This window comes from Homo sapiens, chromosome 6 (genome assembly GCF_000001405.40).
Source record: "Homo sapiens chromosome 6, GRCh38.p14 Primary Assembly".
Taxonomy (NCBI): domain Eukaryota; kingdom Metazoa; phylum Chordata; class Mammalia; order Primates; family Hominidae; genus Homo; species Homo sapiens.
The window spans coordinates 132,114,537-132,133,672 of record NC_000006.12 but is presented as its reverse complement, the minus strand read 5'-3'; the positions used below and the strand labels follow the sequence as shown (position 1 = coordinate 132,133,672).

The 19,136-nt window shown below is 38.7% G+C and overlaps 1 long non-coding RNA gene and 1 other non-coding gene across 4 annotated transcripts in view, besides 3 other annotated features; one reads left to right on the top strand and one right to left on the bottom strand.

The window, feature by feature from the left end:
• The window catches only part of LINC01013 (long intergenic non-protein coding RNA 1013), a 36,803-nt gene extending 35,702 nt beyond the window's left edge, over positions 1–1,101 (bottom strand). For all 3 annotated transcript variants that reach the window (NR_187602.1, NR_187603.1, NR_187604.1), the window contains exon 1: positions 962–1,101. This is a non-coding gene — a long non-coding RNA (long intergenic non-protein coding RNA 1013). The remainder of the gene's footprint in view (positions 1–961) is intronic.
• Positions 267–768: an enhancer, noted in NCBI's record as "NANOG hESC enhancer chr6:132454045-132454546 (GRCh37/hg19 assembly coordinates)". NCBI's record gives its function as "activates a minimal SCP1, AML or CMV promoter by ChIP-STARR-seq in naive H9 embryonic stem cells {active_cell/tissue: H9 hESC(naive)}" and the evidence as "EXISTENCE:reporter gene assay evidence [ECO:0000049][PMID:30033119]".
• Positions 267–1,736: a biological region, named in NCBI's record as "BRD4-independent group 4 enhancer GRCh37_chr6:132453077-132454276".
• Positions 537–1,736: an enhancer, noted in NCBI's record as "BRD4-independent group 4 enhancer chr6:132453077-132454276 (GRCh37/hg19 assembly coordinates)". NCBI's record gives its function as "activates an origin of replication core promoter dependent on BRD2, P300/CBP, MED14 and CDK7 cofactors, and independent of BRD4, by STARR-seq in HCT116 cells {active_cell/tissue: HCT116}" and the evidence as "EXISTENCE:reporter gene assay evidence [ECO:0000049][PMID:35650434]".
• On the top strand, positions 18,410–18,481 carry MIR548AJ1 (microRNA 548aj-1). The gene has a single exon (NR_039673.1). It is a non-coding gene; the product is annotated as a microRNA 548aj-1 (primary transcript).
• The last annotated feature ends 655 nt before the right edge of the window (positions 18,482–19,136 follow it).

Genomic DNA, 19,136 nt, shown 5'->3' with positions numbered 1-19,136 from the left:
TATAAACTTGAGACTACATATCAGACAAGTTCACAAGTTTGGGGAAAAGGGGTACATGTGTAAGCCTCTCATGTTGGGCTAAGAAAAGGAAAAAGTTGTTGGGTCTTGAGTTTAATTTTTAAATGTTTTGGTGAGTAGAAATGAGCTCATATAAATAACATTTCCTCTTTTGTGCTTTGCCTAAACTATTCTTGTAAATTGTGATCTTTAGCCACACCAATCCCCAGAGTTCCTCAGATTTCTGCTTCAGTGCTGCTCATGTCATAAACAGAATTCTTATAAAAGCATTTTTAGAATGTAAAATCTGCAGTGGTCCAGAGATGAAGCTATGTTTTAAATAGACCTATATTATTAGTGAAAATATGGTGTAGTACAGCACACAGCACAGAGAGCCTGAGGGGTCCTGGTCCTAGGCCCAGCTCTTCTGCTGGCCATGTGGCAATGAATGCTTTGTGTCTCCGATTTTTCACTGGTGAAAGAAGAGGGATGAAATGAATGGCTCCTCAGTTATCTTCCAACACTGAGAATCTGCCTTTGTTATGTAAGAGTAGCCGGGCTTTCACTCAGGCCTGATCATGAATAACAATCTTAATAGTGGTGAGTAATGCACAGAGTCACTTTTCCACAACTAGGAGAATCTTGGGTCTTGAAGAAAACCTAGGAAATCATATCACCTTGTCCTCCATTGCCAGTGAGGGCTGCATCTTCATCCTTCAAATACGCTCTTTCAGGCTAATCTAAACAACTCTTCCCAAGGGGCAAACTTCACAACTTCTATGTCCTTAATGGCAGAAGTTCTTCCTTATGTTTGGTCTGAATCTCCCTGCTGAATTTGCAATTTATTTTCATTTGTCCTATCCTTAGCAGAGAGGGAGCACAACTGGGGCACACATTCAAGTGCTATCTATTATTAATCTGAGCCATAGTAAATTTGTTTGTACTAGAGTTTCTGGGGTCTTACATTGCATTCCAGTGAGATGATAGAACCTGATCCCTTGATGGAATGTTCTTTTTGAGGTCTAAAATGACTGAACGATAAAGGCTAACAGGCTGGCAGGAATCCTGAGCAGTTCTTGATAGTGGTCACAGGAAAGGGCATTGTTTCTTTGGCTGTCCAGTCTCCTAGCAACCTAGTGTACAGCGGCTCTTGACATAGGGCTCTCTGAAACCCCACATTTAGAACTATTAAACTATTTCTTCTAAAATTAAATATGTGCTCAGGCAACTGTATTTTAAAAATCTGATAAAAAGGTAATTTTTCCAATAGCACCTGGTGCTTAGTAGAGATAGGGAAAACTGATGAAAGGGAACATAATTATACCATCTAGCCCTACCCACTGCTTTCTGAAAGGTGAGCTCTTATTATGCCCATTTTACAGACAAGGCAGATGGACACACACTGAGAAACGAACAATGCTAACAATATCAACAGTTTAAGAGGGAAACGTTTAGGATTTGGAAAAGCAAATGAAAGCAGGTTTACCTTGCTGACACTCAAAAAGTAATAAGAGCTCCCTATTCACTTTCTGCCTCCTCCTAGTCATGTGGGTGTCCTGTGAGAGGCACAGAAGAGGAAAAAAGTGGTATTCCCTGGGGATGGACTTTCCCAGCCTCCTCCAGAGCAGTCCAGGTTTGTGAATCAATGCAGGAGGTGGGGGTGGGAGTGGGAGGGGTTGGCCAGGCAAGGCTTTCCCTTTACCCACACAGGCTGTGATTAAGAAGGCATCCATCTGTCAACAGAGGCTCTCAGCTGTATTTCCAGCCCAGCTTCCTCCCAACTGACTCATTCAGTGATGCCACAATCTAATGTTTATGACCTAACAGATGATCACCATGGAAGTAGCACAAACCTTGGACTGTTGAGGAGCAAAACCAGCGTAGAGGAGCTGGACCGTTTAGGAAAAGAAAAAATGAAGACCCTTATTCATAGAGACCACATGTTAAGACTGAACATCCCACTCCTCATGTGGGCATTTCCACCCATTACTAAAATTGATATTTGGATGCCTTCGTGCCTGTTGGAGAACCCAAATAAGGATTTCAGGTGACTGAGTACAAACAGATAGCATGGCATTTAGAAACAGACAGCAAGAAGTAGAAGGGAAAATGTGTGTGCAGCAATTTAACGAGGTTTGGATTACAAATTCAGTTTCCTTATCTTTTTGCCAGCATGTGGCAACAGTTCTAAAGGAGACAGAAAATGCATTGAATGCCAGGAGAAAGATGAAGATCCCCCCAAACTCAACTTTATAAACAGTCCTGGTGGAATATTCACAATGTGGAAGTCAGGATAAACTGGCTATTCCACCCGCCACTGCCCCCCAGGAAAAGAAAAGCCTAAATGAATAAGAAAGCCAACGGAAATAAGTGCTTTTTAGTAAAGATCATCGCATTTGGTGCTGTGAGTGGCAGGAAGCGTTGGCACAGACTTGGGAGCTACATGAGGACTCCGGTGGCGTGGTCAGGGTGAAGTGAGCCTGACTTCCTGGCCTGGCCTCCCCAGACTAATAATCAAAAAGAGCTGCCCTTCCCCAGCCCTAAACAGCCCTGTGTGAACACAGTGTCTCCTAGTAGTGCCTGTGGCTTACAAGTAATGTGAGAGTCTTTTTATAACTGTTGAGGTTTAACGTAAAAGGAAGCTCAGAATCAGCGGTAAAGGGAGGGGAATGTTGTGAACTACAGACCATCTGAAATGGGGAAAATCATAAATACCAGAGTGTCTGATTATTTGAATGTCTCTTGAAGTCAAATAATGAACCTTCTTCATGTTCTGCTTTTCTGGACTTGGCTCCCTCTGACAAATTTGCAGGCATCAGGGTCTGTCTGGAATTCCTTCCAAGTTGGAGGGATATTTTTTCCCTTGACATTTTGCAGCTGAGACAGCCGGAGCAGGAAGCTGAGGAGCGTAACATTACCAAATATGTCCTTTCTCCTGCCCGTAAGTTCTATTTCCACAGGAAAAGAAGGCAGATGCTGGCCAATGAGAACTGGCCAGTAGAAATGCAGCCACAGCAGGCGGCCTCTACTGGAAGTGAGGAAATTGATCAGATGCCATTTTTCACAAAAATGGAAACTGTTCTAGGTACCACCAATTAAAATTTGTGCTACGCTGGAGGAAGAAGTTTGACAGGTTCCTACAAGTTGCCCAGCTATTTCAGGGGAATTCTTTATCACTCTATTGGTCTCATTTTCTCAACACCCCTGGAGTGGGAATTAGAGAGTTGGCCTTGGCTGCTGACACACTGTGCTTTTGACCAGATCATTTCTCCTAGGATGTGGGGGAAGCTTCAGATGCTTTATTGCTAAAATGAAGGTTTGGATGTGATGAGCTCCCAGATCCCCTCTGGGTTACCAAGACTGTGGTCTCCAAGCTTCTTCAATCGTGTGTTTCAACCACTAAAATAAATCCAAATATTTGTCCAGATGCTTTTCTTTATGGGTCTAAGACACTAATCTCAAACTATCGTATCTACATGGTCTAGGAAAGAACATAAGTGAGCAAAATAGCTGCAGATTGCATACTCTTTGCTTGCATATTAAATACAGTCAGTTCTCCATATCCGCAGTTCCACACTAGCAGATTCAATTAACCTTGCATTGAAAATATTTTTGAAAACAATAATACAACAATAAAAAATAATACAATTAAAAAAATAAGATAGCCATTTACATGCCATTTACATTGTATTAGGTATTATAAGTAATCTAGAGGCGATTTAAAATATAGGGAGGATGCGTGTACCTTACATGCAAATACTACATTTATACAAGGAACTTGAACAATCTGTGTCTTAGAACCAATCCCTTCCTCAAACCTCACCCTTATCCCCACCCTGCTGATACCAAGGGCCTGCTGAATGTAAGAAAATTCTTTTTTTTTTTTTGAAACATAGTCTCACTCTGTCACCCAGGCTGGAGTGCAGTGGTGTGATCTCAGCTCACTGCAACCTCTGCCTCCTGGGTTCAAGAAATTCTCTGCCTCAGCCTCCTGAGTATCTGGGATTACAGGTGTCCACCACTACGCCCGGTTAATTTTTGTCTTTTTAGTAGAGACGGGGTTTCACCATCTTGGCCAGGCTGGTCTCGAACTCCTGACCTCGTGATCCACCCGCCTTGGCTTCCCAAAGAGCTGAGATTACAGGCATGAGCCACCGCACCTGGCCAGAAAATTCATTTTTTAAACATAATCTTCTTGTTTCATCTTTATTTATCCTACTTTTAAAAGAGAACGCTTACTGAGAAAGTTCTTTACTGAGGAAAATAACAACCTATGCATGTTTTAAATGGCCAGCAATGCTTAATGTTGAGTCAAGAACACTTTGGGGAATGGTAGAAATAGGAGTAATCTGGAGCATGGACACCCCATTGGTCCTAATGTGGAAACTGCTTCTCCAGTGGGTCACCTTCAAGCAGAAATGGAGGCCTACTGCTGTTCAATTGTGATTTTTCAAGAGAAATGGGAAACTCTATTTTAACGTGAAATTGAGTTAATTTCAAATATTTTGTCTCAAAAATTTTAGAGTCAAGATTTGAGGACAAGTGTATGATGGCAACGGGCCACACTCAGCCAATGAGTAGCTCCTTGGTGATCTCTGATCTAATATTCAGCTGATTTAGCTAGCCCTATAATTTTTTTGTGTGATAATATTGGAACTTTGCAGTCAGACCTCCATACTCCAGTCAGGGTAATTATGTATGTGTAAGGCAGAAAAACATGAAATATTTCATTAATATCACAGTGTTTTTCTTTGGAGCCACTTCTTGAATCTTCTTAAAGCTGCTCCATCAGACTAGTGATCTATGTTGTTCAGTCATGAAAGTAAGGAAAATATTCCATTGCTCTTGATATAGTTGTCACTTTTGCATATGAAAATCTCACAGAAAAAAATGTATTTTAAACAACATTAGATAAGATTGGCAAACTTTTTTTGTAAGGGTTCAAGCAGTAAATATTTAGGCTTTGTGGACCATATGGTCTCTGTTGCAACTGTGCGTGACTGTGCAAAATCAACCATAGACAATCCATACACCAATGGGCCTGGCTGAATTCCAATAAAACTTTATTTATGCAAACAGATTGTAGGCCAGATTTGGCCCACAGGCTGTAGTTTGCCAACTCCTGTATTAGATCATAAGCTCTTCTAAGTTGTAACCTGTACCTCATTCAACTCTGTATTTTCAGGCTACACAATCCTGGCACAGGGGAAGCACTCCATTAACATTTAAAAAAATAAATTGAAGGTTGTTGAACCTAGCAGTTTATGACAATCATAATTAACTTCCCATTTACATGATTGAAACTTATAGTAGTGTTTATAGGTTGTGTTCACTCTGAGACTTACATCAGCATTTGAACCTCCTCAGAGAGTTTGTGGCTTAATCTCACTGTTCAAAATGAGGGAAGGAGGTGCCCAACCAGACTCATGCAGCAACCTAATGGCTTGCTTACACCTCATTCTGAGACTGATGGATCAAAGATCAGGAGCCACAAAAGGACCCTCATGATTTTACAGAGAGGCTCCTTTACAAATCTTTACCTCCACTCTTCCTTTGACAATTTAAATGACCCCAAACCAAGCATCTATGGAGTCCTTACACTGCTGCACAATGGTTTTCAAAATGCTGGTTATGACACAGTGCACATATACTAAAACATTTCCCAAAGCAATCCTCATCCTTATGAAGGGTAATTCACTGGGATATTTTCCCTTTGCTTATATTTTATTTATTTTTTAGTGCTGATCATAACTCTCTAAATTGATTTTAGAGAAATTTTTCTAAGTAAAAATGAGATCAGAAGTCACCAAGCTGCTGTCCATTGGCTGGGTAGGGCCCTTGTCAGCATCCTATGCTTGGCTCTAAAATTTATGAGCCAAAGTTTTATTTTCAAAATGTCACTGGATGTGACATTTTGTTTGAAAACCAAAGAAGCAGGCTCAGTTCTGTCCTTTGGGGATTTACAATTAAACTGGAGACATAAGACACAGATATCCGATGTCTATGGAATACCTCCTGAGATCTGTTAGGAGACAGGTCATAGTATTTGTGCCACCTGGAGTTCTTCACTGGTGATAGCTGGCATTTTGACAATCATAGATAAGCAGTGTCATTGGTCTGGGCTGGAGCCTTGCACATGGAAACCTGTCTAAAGAAGAGAGAAAGAGAGAGAACTGAATTGGGATGAGGACCCACTTTAGAGAAAAAAAAAATCCAAGTAAAAAGGCATCAGAAATGGTTTTTTTTCACCCAATTGCATTCCCATGGTGAATGAGGAGAACCCAAACTGAAATCAAGATTTATTGGCTGGAACAGTGTGTGAGAGGATTAGAGGAGAATGAGAGCTCAACCTGCTTGACTTCCAAAAGTCAAAATGGAGTTACTGGAGGAAATGGTCTGGAGAAGAGCTTAGTTTTTTTAAATGAAAGTAACTCTGTGGAGAAAGGAGAAGATAAAATTTCTCCAACGCTCCAGCCAAGACCAGTGAGGCCAATCTAGACATGCAGTTATTTTTTAAAATTAAGTATTTTCTTTTTGGTTAATAAGTTTGTCAAACCTGGCACAGTTTTGGAAAGATAATGGGGAAAAGAGCTGAGATAGTTTGGGGTGGATAATGCGGAAGAGAGCTGAGATAGAAACTTGGGTAGCCAAATGGTCAAGCAAATTAATTAGTTTTGATAGCCATATCCAAGTTATGGGCAAAATATACTAACTGACCACCATTTGGCAGTAGGTGTGGGGAGGTAAGGAATGAAGGGATTGGATTTGGCAGAAAGGCCCCATAATCAAACACATAAAAGCAACCATATGGATTTTCATCAACATAAAGAAATTAGCCAACTGCAAATTCTGATAGAAAACCTCTGAAAGTGAGAACCAAACTATGTAGGAAAAAAATTATATGAATAGAAAGACCTATAAAATAGTTTGGGACACATAAATTAATGTTAAAGACATGTCTATTGAGAATCAGAAACAAAGGACTGCATAAAATGACTTAAGAGAAAGGGAGATAAGGTGGAGGGAAAATAGGAGGTTTAATATTAAAACCTGGAAGAGGAGAAAATATTAATTTTCATTATTGTTATAGACTAAATGTTTGTATGCCCCCCAAAAATTTACAAGTTGAACCCCTAACCCCCAATGTGATGATATTAGGAGAGGGAGCCTTTGGTAGGTGATTAGATCATGAGAGTCAAGTAATGGATGAGATTAGGGCTCTCGTAAGAGAGACATCAACGAACTCCCCCTCTCCCCTCCTGCCATGTAGGATACAATGAGAACATGGATGTCTATGACCAGAAGGGGGCCCTTGCCAGATGCCAAATCTACCAGTGCCTTGACTTTGGACTTCCCAGCCTTCAGAGCTGTGCAAAATAAATTTCCTTTGTTTATAAGCCACCTGGTCTATGGTATTCTGTTATAGCAGCCTAAATGGGCTAAGATAATTACTATGCAGAATTCTAATTTTATGGAAAGAAAAATCATAACAACAATGAATATCTTATTTAAAGATTATTTTCACTTTTACAACTCTACAATGGGATTTTCATTTCAAAGGGCTTTATGAAATACACAAGTAAAAGAAATAAGAAAACAATAATGAAGCCAAGTGATAATATTCTCTATTACATGAATGATGGCATCATAGATATCAGGAGTCTGGTTTTGCAACACTTAAGGGAGGGTGTCTATAATTATCTCCCAATGATGTGAACCTTCACCTAATTTTCCTCAAAATATAATTAATTTTAAAGCAATTTTAAGAAATCTTGGATGTTATAAGTCCAGTGCTATTATGTCCATCAAAAACCCAACTCCATTATTTTGTTGACATGCTAAGTTTCACATAGCATTTTAATGAAAAAAAAAGCCATATTTTTAAAGTGATACGTCATATCATATACTCTCTCTTACAGTTTAGATTTCATTCTCCAAAAGGTTTCTCCTAAGTCTCTGCCATATATTAGGAATAAATGGAATCTTTTGTAGTGATCTTCTCAAAGTTATGGTTTTAAAGACAAGACTTATTGAGCTTGATCTCAAAGTGCTAGTCAAGATTTCTTAACTTTTCTTCAGAAGAGAAGGTGTAGGTCTTTATCCCAAGACTAGTTGAGAAATAATTGAGAATAAAAACAAGTGGCATTCCAGGTGCAAATCATTGTGGACTTATAGGAAGAAAAAGGGAGAGAAGGGGATGCCTCCTGGAACCTGAAGCAAGTGTCTTATAATGAGACACATAGTGTCTGATTGCTCATTCAAATATTCAATCATCTCAGTAGTAAAAGGAGAAGTAGCAGGAGACTTGGACTCACAATCCCAGCTGCTGGACTCTCCCTTAGGGTGGGGTCCCCTTTTTGTCATTTGCCCTTAAGGACAACCACCATCTTCTCTCTATTCTGGGCAACTTGCTTGAATAGATGGCTTTTACTTAATATTACAGAAAAATTTTCCAGGGCACTACATCAGTTCCCAATGCAGACTTACATTTTTTTGTTATTTCCCTCCTCTCTCACTGTGTTAGTTCATTTGCAGAAGAAAATTCATTATAAACATATATATCTAATATAGATACTTGTGTATAGTATGTGTATACATGTAAACACACTCATTTGACATCCTATTTTATCCCCACACACAATTCATAAAACAATATTTCTAGAGTCCTGTTCAATGAGAGGTAGAGTTATTACAAGGTATTTTAATACTTTGTAATATAATATTGTTTAACATAATATTGTAATATAAGAAGTGACCTGCAAAAAGTATTTCCCCTAAGCCTTTCTCTATATAGGACCAGCATTTATTCTGCACATGTTCTATATTGCAACTTACAACATAGAAATTGCAGTGACAACAATTTGTAGGAGGTAGAACATAAAAATGACTGATTTTTCCAAGAAAAGAAAATATTCTTTAGACAGGAAATGACGTTACCAGCTCCTAAGGCACCTAACAATATTTTCTGGGTGAATAAGTAGATATTGTCAGGTTGGGAGGACACCACTTTTTTTCTTTGTTGAAATGTCAGTACTAGTAAGCCAAGTCATCCAGCTCTGGTAACTTGGATAGTGCTGGGTCAGGTCAGGCCTGGGACTCAAGGTGGCAGGGCAATTTCACTCAGGTAAGAGTGAAATTAGAGGTTAACATACCATATGTCTTAATATTTAAGTTACTAATCAAGCTAACACACTATAAAAACATGTTTGATTCTCTTCCTTGACATATATACTTTCAAAATGACAGAATTGGAAGCATGTATAAATCTATGGTTTTTATGTGACTGAAGACCAGAAAACTATTGAAGACCGTTGCATTAATTTTTATTGTGCATTTCTAGCTGCTTTGTTGAAGTCCCATGGTATTGGCATGCCTAATAAAAGAGGTAAACAGATTTAACAGTAATATGAATTTTTAATATTGTGGAATGCTCTACAGCCACGTTATATGATGGTTGTGGATACTACACTAGTTTGTGCGTATTTCTGGAGCCACCAATTGGAACATGAAGAGAAGTAAGAAAACTTCCTTTTTGAGTAAGAAAATGGCTCAGCACTACTTGGAAACAAGACTTTGTTATGAAAGAATGAATTGCATTCATATTATTAGAGAGGAGGAATTTGACAAGTTACTTAATATTTTCTTGTTCTCTTACCTAAGGGCTTCTGCTGTTCAAATCTTGCCTCTACTCCAAAACAGTTTCTCTCTTCTACATCAGCAACAGCACAGACACAATCACTTTTTCTAGGATACAGGGCATGAGATAGGCAGAAGCATTTCCCTGGAGCCTGAGCCATTTTAGTCACGAGAGCAGTGGTTAGGGTTATAGGTCATGCTGTGCCAGTGCTGAGGACTGGATCCACAGTAAGGGCACTCATGTGTTTTTTACTAAAAGTATTTGTCATGTGTTTGTGATATGCAGTTAATGGCAGGGGCCTCTCTTATGTGCAAGTAAAGGTAGTACTAGGTCTAGGTTTTTTGTCAAGTGCTTTCTAGATGTTCAGAATCCAAAAAGCCTTAAGGCATGAACAGCTTTCAAAGAAAGATGTCAGTATTATGGAGTTCTTTGGCAGGCTAAGATTTGATAATTCTATGTACTATGTTGTATTGCCAAGGTGGCCATTGCCATACGGGAATAGAGCTGTAGATCACTTATAGCAAAAGAGTTGCACCGATGTTTTTTTTTCCTCATGGACATGATCAAGTCTGTGGCAGGCGAAATCAGGTCTCCTCCAGTGTTTTGTTTTTGTTTTCTTATGAGAATTTCTGATCCAATTGAATTTGGCAACTCCTTGATCTTGACCCCTGTTTTTCTTGCTCTCATGTCTCTATGTCTTTTTACCTAAAAAACACTCTGTCACCACTGGTTTAATTTCAGTTTAATTACAAGTCTTTTCAATTTCTGATCCATCAAAGGTTTGGTCTTCACTAAGCATGCATTTCCCACTCCAGACTCCAAACACTGTACAGGCTTTGAACAATGGGTATCTGTTCCCTCCTGTCAGGTTTCCAGAAATAGGCTTTAGAGAGCTGCCATGTGTTTCTCTTTCTTTACACTCCAGCAAGAACCCCTCCGTGACTTACATACACAGAAAGCCAAAGGCCCTGAATGGTTATTTATTCTTGCTAGCTGGATGACCCTGCACGTGGCTCTCAGCATGGGTGAGGATTAGAGAACTTTGGAGAGGTGCGTCATGTAATTTAAGTACAAACAAAACTGCATGAATTTGCGCTTTGCTTAGATCATGCAAGGAAGTTCAGGGTTAACCATGAAACCCAACTCAGCTTCCTATCTTTGTTTTTCCTCATGTACACTCAAATGGGAGAAGGATCAGGTATGATCCTTCTCAGAGACTGGTCATTTTGAAGAGCTTACAACATAGCATTCAGCCCTTAGAATGGACACTCTGAATATTTTAGCACATGACGCCTGATGTCCTGATTAGATCAATTTGCTACACTTGCTTTAGATAAATAAAGATGGACAAAGTTTTACCCCAATCATGAATTGTATGTGAGCTCTAGGAATTGTTCGTCTTACAGCTTCCCTGTCATCTGGTTGTTTTCTGCCCAGTTTTGTGGAGTTTTATCCTACGCATGCAATTCAGTATTCAGCAACAGGCTCAAGGGATCCCAATGCAGAAATGTGGGTGTCTTTCTCTCATAGCATTCTCCTCTCTGGTGGTTTGCTCTGCAAATTTCTGCTGTCTCTGCCTCCCTGAAGTCCAGTCTCTACTCCTCTACTCTGCAAGACTGAAGTTCTCTCTTTGAGGTCTTGCTACATGCACCATGTAGCAAATGCCTTCAGGCAGGAAACAAGTACATTCACTGAGCTCACCTCCTTTGTCTCCCTTCTCTCAGATGTCACAGTTCTGGCTGCCCATTGTCCAGTGCCTGTTTCCAATGATACAGGTTTTACTCTGCTTTCTAGTTATTTACAGTAAAATGGTAAATGTGCTACCAGGTACTTTTTTATGGATGGAAGTAGGAGTCTCCAGTCATAAGTTATGATTTAATGATATTAAAACCAAGATAAAGACGATCTATGTGTTTACCAAATACATTTTCTGTTTTCCTAGACTTCACTTTCCATGCTAGATACAAAAAGTTAGAGCTTAGTTCTGGGGTAAAAATTGTCTTAATCTTATAATGAGTCATAATCAAGAGAAACACTTCTTTGTTCTTGGATATTGTCTTAAAGATGTGAAATCTGGAATTGCTGAAGTCAGCTTGCAACTAATCTACAGAAGAGGTACATATGCCAAGGATGGCCACATGGAAACATATAAAGTACCTATGTTCTTGATGATTACATAGAGCCAGTGAATTAACCAGTTAAGAAATATCCTAACTTCAGACTTCTTATTATATGAGATAATAAATTCCTTACAATTAGAGCTAGTGGAGTCAGGATTGTCTGTTACTTACACCCAGACACATTGTAACAGATAAATTCCTTCTTATGAGTAAGTTAGTAGGTGACTTTGAAAGCCCTTAACTGAAATGAGGGGGAAAGGACAATTTTGAGGATTTGGAGAAAAAGTGAGGAGTTCACTTTGGACATGTTGAGTTTGAGTTACTTACAGATCATTGATATGGTTTGACTCTATGTTCCCCCCAAATCTCACTTTGAATTGTAATCCCCAGATGTCAAGGGAGGCCACTGGTGTGAGGTGATTGAATCATGCAGGTGATTTTCCCCATGCTATTCTCATGATAGTGAGGGTGTTCTCATGAGATCTGGTGGTTTAAAAGTAGCTGTTTCCCCTGCGTCTCTCTCTCTCTCTCTCCTGCCACCTTGTGAAGAAGGTGCTTGCTTCTCCTTTACCTTCTTCCATGACTGTAAGTTTCCTGAGGCTTCCCCAGCCATGCAGAACTGTGAGTCAGTTAAACCTCTTTTATTTATAAATTAGCCATTCTCAGAGGGTATCTTTATATCAGTGTGAAAACAGACAAATACAATCATCCAGTGGGATGTCAATAGGCAACCTGGATATGTATATAACCAGCAGATGAAAATGTTCTGTAGATTTTGGGATCATCAGTGTATGGTTTTTGAAGCTATGGTTATAGAGACTATTACTTAGCAGAATAAGCAAGGATGAAGATGTTCATCAAATGTGGTCTCAAGGAGAATGTATTCATCTCATTGTAGAGGGTAACCTAATTTTATCTTGCTATTTCCTTTCAGACATCTGCAAAAGGCTGGGTTAGGATCTGTGATGAATCTGGAGGCCCGGCCTAGTAAAAAGGTCAGGAGCACACACTGATGACAATGGAAAAGCCACGCTGGACCCCGTGGAAACACAGATGGTCCCTAAAAATCAATGCAGCCTGGTCACGTATGCAACAGTGTTGTCTACTTCTTGTTTTTAAGGAAATATATAAAACAGTCCAAAACAAAGCCATAAAGATTACAGTGCCTTATAATCAGGAAAAATTGTATAAATAGAAACCTATGTAGTTTATCAATATAACTCATAGTTCTTAAAGAGAGTTTGACAAGTTTATGCAATAAATCAAAACTGCAACAGTTTATTCTCCTAGGAATTTACCCCCTAGTTAGTAGATTATAAAACTTTCTAATATTAAAGAAGCATAACCCAAAATTGCAGTCATAAGAACATTGATTTGGTGATTCCTTAATGATCTTTCTTCATAGAATCATGAATGTCTTCAAAACAGCCAGACGCAGAACACCTTTATGTCACATTACCAAATTTTTAAAGAAATAAAGTTTCAGTTTGTGTTCAAATAGGTTTAGAGAAAGATTATTTTCCTAAACTAAATTGGGTGGAACGATCTCCTTTGACAGTCAAGCACAAACTAAAGTATTAAAATAAGCTTTGACGTATGTTAGCGACTATATATAGACTCAACCAATCATGTTAAAGGCTAGAGTAATTTGATATTTATTAATTACCTTAAAATACAACGAAAAGATAAGTAACATTAGAAGCAAATATACTTGGATATGTAAATGTAGGCACTATTTTTCTTTAGAAGTGAAGATTATGTGTAAAGTTACAAGGACTTGAGAGAATGTATATAAAATATTTGCTCCAGGGCCTGGCACCTACTAATACTGAATAAATGAGAACCATCGCTGTTGTGACATCATCATTCCAGCTAGGCCAGTCCCACTGCATCATTGTAGTATTATTAAAAACACTGTAAAATTTTATTTGTTTTCACCTAAGACTTGTACAGTGTAATTATTTGTCTATAAAGACAAATCATATCAGTGGTCTATTTAAGTTTAGGAAGTGGTAGATAAAGTTTATCAAACAAAACCGCCCTCCCTCAAAAGTCCCAGTAATAAGAATGAGTCAGGAAATGTTGAGGCTAAGGACTGAAGTAGCTCTCTTTTAAGATGTTACAGTCACGATTGTGAAGGTTCTCCCACCTTCCCAGCCTCACCTCCGCCATGCCATCTTGGCCACCCCTTCCCTCTCTGGAGGTATTGGGAATCCCAGAAAGAGCCAGAGGAAGCTAGCTCTACTTGTCTGCTCATTAACCAATCCAATCTAGCTCTCTCTTTCCAAAGAGTATTAAATAACTTACCATCCCTTCAGACTAATTATTATTCCTTCTTTCAGACCTTTTGTACAATTAACTCTAAAGCTCTCTCCTTATCCTTTCCCTGTTTAATTGCAGTTCTAAGCTAGATATTCTTTTGCTGATAATAGCCTGGAAATTCTAAAATGGCTTTAGGATATGCCTTAGTTAGGGTTGCAGGGATCATGTTATTACTACTCTACCTTATTTTAATGTCCAGGTTTAATTTTTCCTTGAGGGTCCCTCACAAGGTTTGATAAAGGTTCAGTAATGCTTAGGGTTTTACCAATCACATTTATTGAATGAATGTTGACCATGCTAATCTCAGTCTCCCTGAGGCTCTAATCTTTCTGAACATCTGTTAAATTTGGTGTTCTACCATGCTCAGTTCTAGGCTCTCTTAGCTCTTTCATTATATAGTCTCTCTAGATGATCTTATCTTTCCACGTTTCCATTATGATCTATATGCTGATGGCTTCCAATATATTTCCAGTCCAGTCCTGTATTGAGAGCACAAAGTACATATCTCCAATTATCTAACTGCTCTTGAATATCCCACAGACATCTTGTCCCTGAACCCAAGAGCCTAATCCTCTCCATTTCTCCTATTTGTAATGGAATCATTTAATTAGCCCAACAGTAGTCCAAGCCACAGAGAAAAATGTCACTTCTGTTTCTCCTCACACATCCAATCAATACAGTATTTTTAAAATCTTACTGCTTAAGCCTTTCTACTTCTGTATAATACCACTGTGTTTTTTCCTGTTTTGGGTCACTACCATCTCTTACCTAGAATCCTTAAAGAGCCTCGTAACTGGCCTCACTGCCCCTAATCTTGTCTTTCTTCTACCTCTACACTCAAATCAGGATGATCTTTCCAAACAAAAACCTGTGATATACAATAACAGAAAGTGGAGTAGAAAAATATGGGATTAATGCCACCTATTGAGCAGTGATACTAAGGAGTTTATTAGAGTTTTAAAAATACATTTGGTCATTTAGAAGTCCAGGAAAAAAAAAATAGCTGACATTTGCTGAGGGCTTTTCTTACAACTATCTGTAAAGTTGACAAAGATGATGATGATGATGATATGAGGATGAAATAAAAAGATGACTTATATGTTCTTAACTCATGCAAGCAGACCAGTGTGGAAGTAAATAAATTGAAAGCAGTGGGTTTAAGCTAAAGGAAACCAGTCTATCTTTAGGGCTGGCCCCAGCAGGGGTAAAGAAACCAGAACAAATGTGTGTCCAAACCTAGGCAGCATTCAGACAGATGTCAATACTGCAGGACTCCTGACCTCCTAGGTGACTAGAACAGCAGAAGAGTACACAGGAGCAAATGGGGACAACATTCTTGTCCTGGGTGTCCGATCAATTTGGAGAAGGACTGCATGCAATACCAGTGTGTATTGAAAAGATAGGTGGAGGCATCAGGGTCATAGCAAAGCAGGCTGGCATTCAGGGTAGGACCACACCTAGAGTATAGGTGGGCACGTTGAGAATAGAGCTATAATCAAAATACCCGTGCAAAGCTGAGGGTGAATCTTGAGCAGATAACTCTCTTCAGACACACTGAATACAGGCCGACTGGAGAAAAGATGGACCTTGTCTAATGGTGTCTGCAGCTGGATAGAAATGAATGGAATAGAGACTGATGAAGAAACAAATAAATCCACTCTTAAGTTCAGCAAATACTCCTGGAACGCCTACAGCATGAAAGACACTTTGGTGACTTTATGGGCATCGCAATTATGCAAAGTCAGGAGAAAATGCCTAATTCTCCCATAATGTTGGTACCACTGCCTTCTGTAAAGAAAGGCATGAATAATGCCACCATTTCCAGGCACAGAGACCACAGTTATATAAACAAGCATCCATCCTTTCAGGGAAGTCAAAGGATGTGCCAGAGCTCTCACTTCTGTTTACATGGGGAGAAGACTTCATCTCCCATGCAGGGAAAACAATTTTGATTTTGCCAATGCCCCTGGAAGGTAAGAGAGTAAAAGCTATGTATGAATTAATACAAGACAGTTTTCTTTCCAACGTTACAGGACCAAGAATGGAGTGAGGAAAAGAGAAAAGAGAAATGGAGGCAACTTTGCAAGAGGGTAAGATCTCAGAGCACCAAGACAAAGTATACTCTCTAAAGTCAGTGATACTATGTAGACTTCTACGTCATTAGATTAGGCCTGCCTGGAGTAAATTTTTAAATGTGCCATTTTTAAGTTACCTAAATGAGTAAAGGTGGTCTTTTTATTTTTACTCTATTTATATTGCATACACAAATTTTCTTAGAGAAAATTTCAGAAATGATACCTTCTTTCAAACTGATGGCCAATATGCTATCACCAGTTCAATTTTCTGTATTTAGACACTAATTAGAATGTTTTCAGGGAATCTGCAATAAACCTAAGAAAATAATTAAAGTTTACTGATGATCAGGTCAATTTATATTCTATCTGGCTGTCTTGTTTTTAAACTCATGCATATTAAAGGTATGATATGAGTGTGAATTTACTGAAGCACAAATCAAAACCTGGGATTTGTGTTGTAATTGTGTGCATTAATAGACTAGCCAAAACTTGCAATAACTTTCTGCTAAGCATATCAAGTAGTCCTAAGTAGTTGATACATCTACTTTCAAGCTTCTGCAGATATTCTCAGCTTATGAGTAATTGTGTTTCCCATGCAAGTAAGAAAAAACGAAGATTGCTTGCTTCAGAATAATGATAACCTATTACAATAACCCAGAAAACCAAGGTATCAGAAACCTGATGAGATCATTTATTCCATCATCTCCTATTATGCACCCACACCACCACAGCAATGTCCTCACTTAGCTCTTGGTTTTCTCAGAGGGCTTATTCTTCAGAAGTACTTGTCTTTTGTTTTGCTGCAGACTACTTTGTTTTTGGCTTTAATAGTCCTCCCTGCTTATTTTCTGTGGAGACCCAGGTTCCAGTGCTCATTTGGGCATCTGACAACAAGTAGGGTATTACATTTTAGAATCCAAAGAAATAAAATTCTTTCTGTTTTGCTAAATGATAAAGAACAAAGAAACAAATATCCAGGCCATTTAAAAAATATAGACTTTCACAGATATGAGGTTCCTCTAAATAAAGCCTTCTCATTGTTATTCATATTCATTTTTGAAACACAGACTAGAATGTCTCAAAAAGTTTTCCAAGAATGTTATCTTTTACACTCAACTCAAGAGTTCATTGCCAATTCCAAAGCTCACGAAGTTTATTTTACAAAAATACGCTCTGCATGAATGGGGCATATGAATCAAAGCAATTATGTATTAATTAGCCATGTTGCCCACGTGTATGTTTCTTTCCTTCCTTGCTTTAACTCACTTGTATGCATCAAAAAGAATGAAATTTGAAAAGGAAACACAAGATTTCAATTGATGGACTATTACGATACAAATGGTTCACTGACAGTAGCCTTGGTTTACTTTCTGTTTCTGTTCCGATTCTTCCCCACAAATCTTTGACATTAGCAAAACTTTCTTCTACAAATTATTCTTAATGAAAACCTTCACACTCTTATGCTTTATCAGATTATGTCAATTCATCTCCTGAAGCTCTGAGAGACTGTTGTATTTACTGGCAAATATCCTTTGTAAATCGCCTACTCTTTCCCTCTCACCAGCTGCATCACCTGAGGCAAGAGGACATGAGAAAATTGTGTACTAGTCACATTCCACAGTGACACATCTTCATCTGTCAGCTCTTGGCTTCGGTGTCTTGGGAAATTCTGACATGAGGAAATATTTCAAAGAAGTGGTATTGCCCCCAGAATGAAGCCTAGTTCTAGTTGTTTCGAAGGTATTAAAATGTTTCCCATCTGTTCTGTAATCATATCATTTTTAAGCACCCTCCATATTCTATCCAGGCTTCCAGCTGAACTCTGGGAATACAAATATGAATACCACGAATAGAACAGAGTCCTTGATCTCAAGATGTGCAAATTCTAGTAAACAGAGACACAAGGAAGATAATTCAATATATGTTGCTGATATTATGTATTCATTCACACAAATGTGTTGAGAACCTCCTTTGCCAGGCATTGTGTTAATCATGACCGTAGAAGGGAACTCAGAGGAGAGGCCCTTCGCCCCGATAGAGACGGGCAAGAAAAGTTCATGGTCAAAAGCACAGTAATGTGAAATGTCATAGACAATGCAGGGATCCATAAGCTATTTGCTATTTTTAGAACATAAAATGCTAGGATTAGAAAAATGACAGACAAATTTGAAGTTGTGTGAAGGAGAAAGAACTAGGCTGGGAAGGATCCAAAGGCACTCGGCTTCCTAAGGCCCCTTTCACCAGAAGGAATGTATTAGATTGGTGTAAAAGTAATTGCAGGTTATGCCATTAAAAGTAATGGTAAAAACTGCAATTACTTTTACACTAACCTAATAGAACAGCTGAAGATATTCTCTTAGCGAAGTATTATAAACTCATTAGGCTAATTTATAACTACTGTCTAGAATTTGATTAAAAGATTCCCATCATGAACCAAACAGATAAAGGATGCTAAATTTATGTGACAGAAATAAAGAGGGAGGTTAGTTTGACTGAAGAGTGGAATTTTTCACAGACATACAACACACACATTCACACACACACAAACTCTAGCATAGCAATTTATTTGTATTAGCTAAAAAAATTTACTTAATATTCAGTGTGTCTAAAGCCACTACCCAAATCATGATTACCCTGAAAGGGAGTGAAAACAGTCAAACTATCTTCAATTTGACTCTTGCTCACTCACTTTCCATATATTCTTCCTAGTCTCTGTGACTTCTGAGACTAGATACCTTTATTATTGGTTGCGGAAAAGACAGAGAAGTATTACCGCTATATTGCTCACTTTTTCCTAATCCCTTTCTCGCTGTCCTACAAGGAGCTGGAGAAAAACCTATTCTCTGATGTGAATTACATACAAACTATTCACATTTGACCACATCCGCTGGGAAAACTCACTAACCAATCCCAAGGAATGTACAAATGCAGGTTCCAAAACACAGGCTGACTGATCATTCTGGCCGTCTAAATTGGGAGCTAATT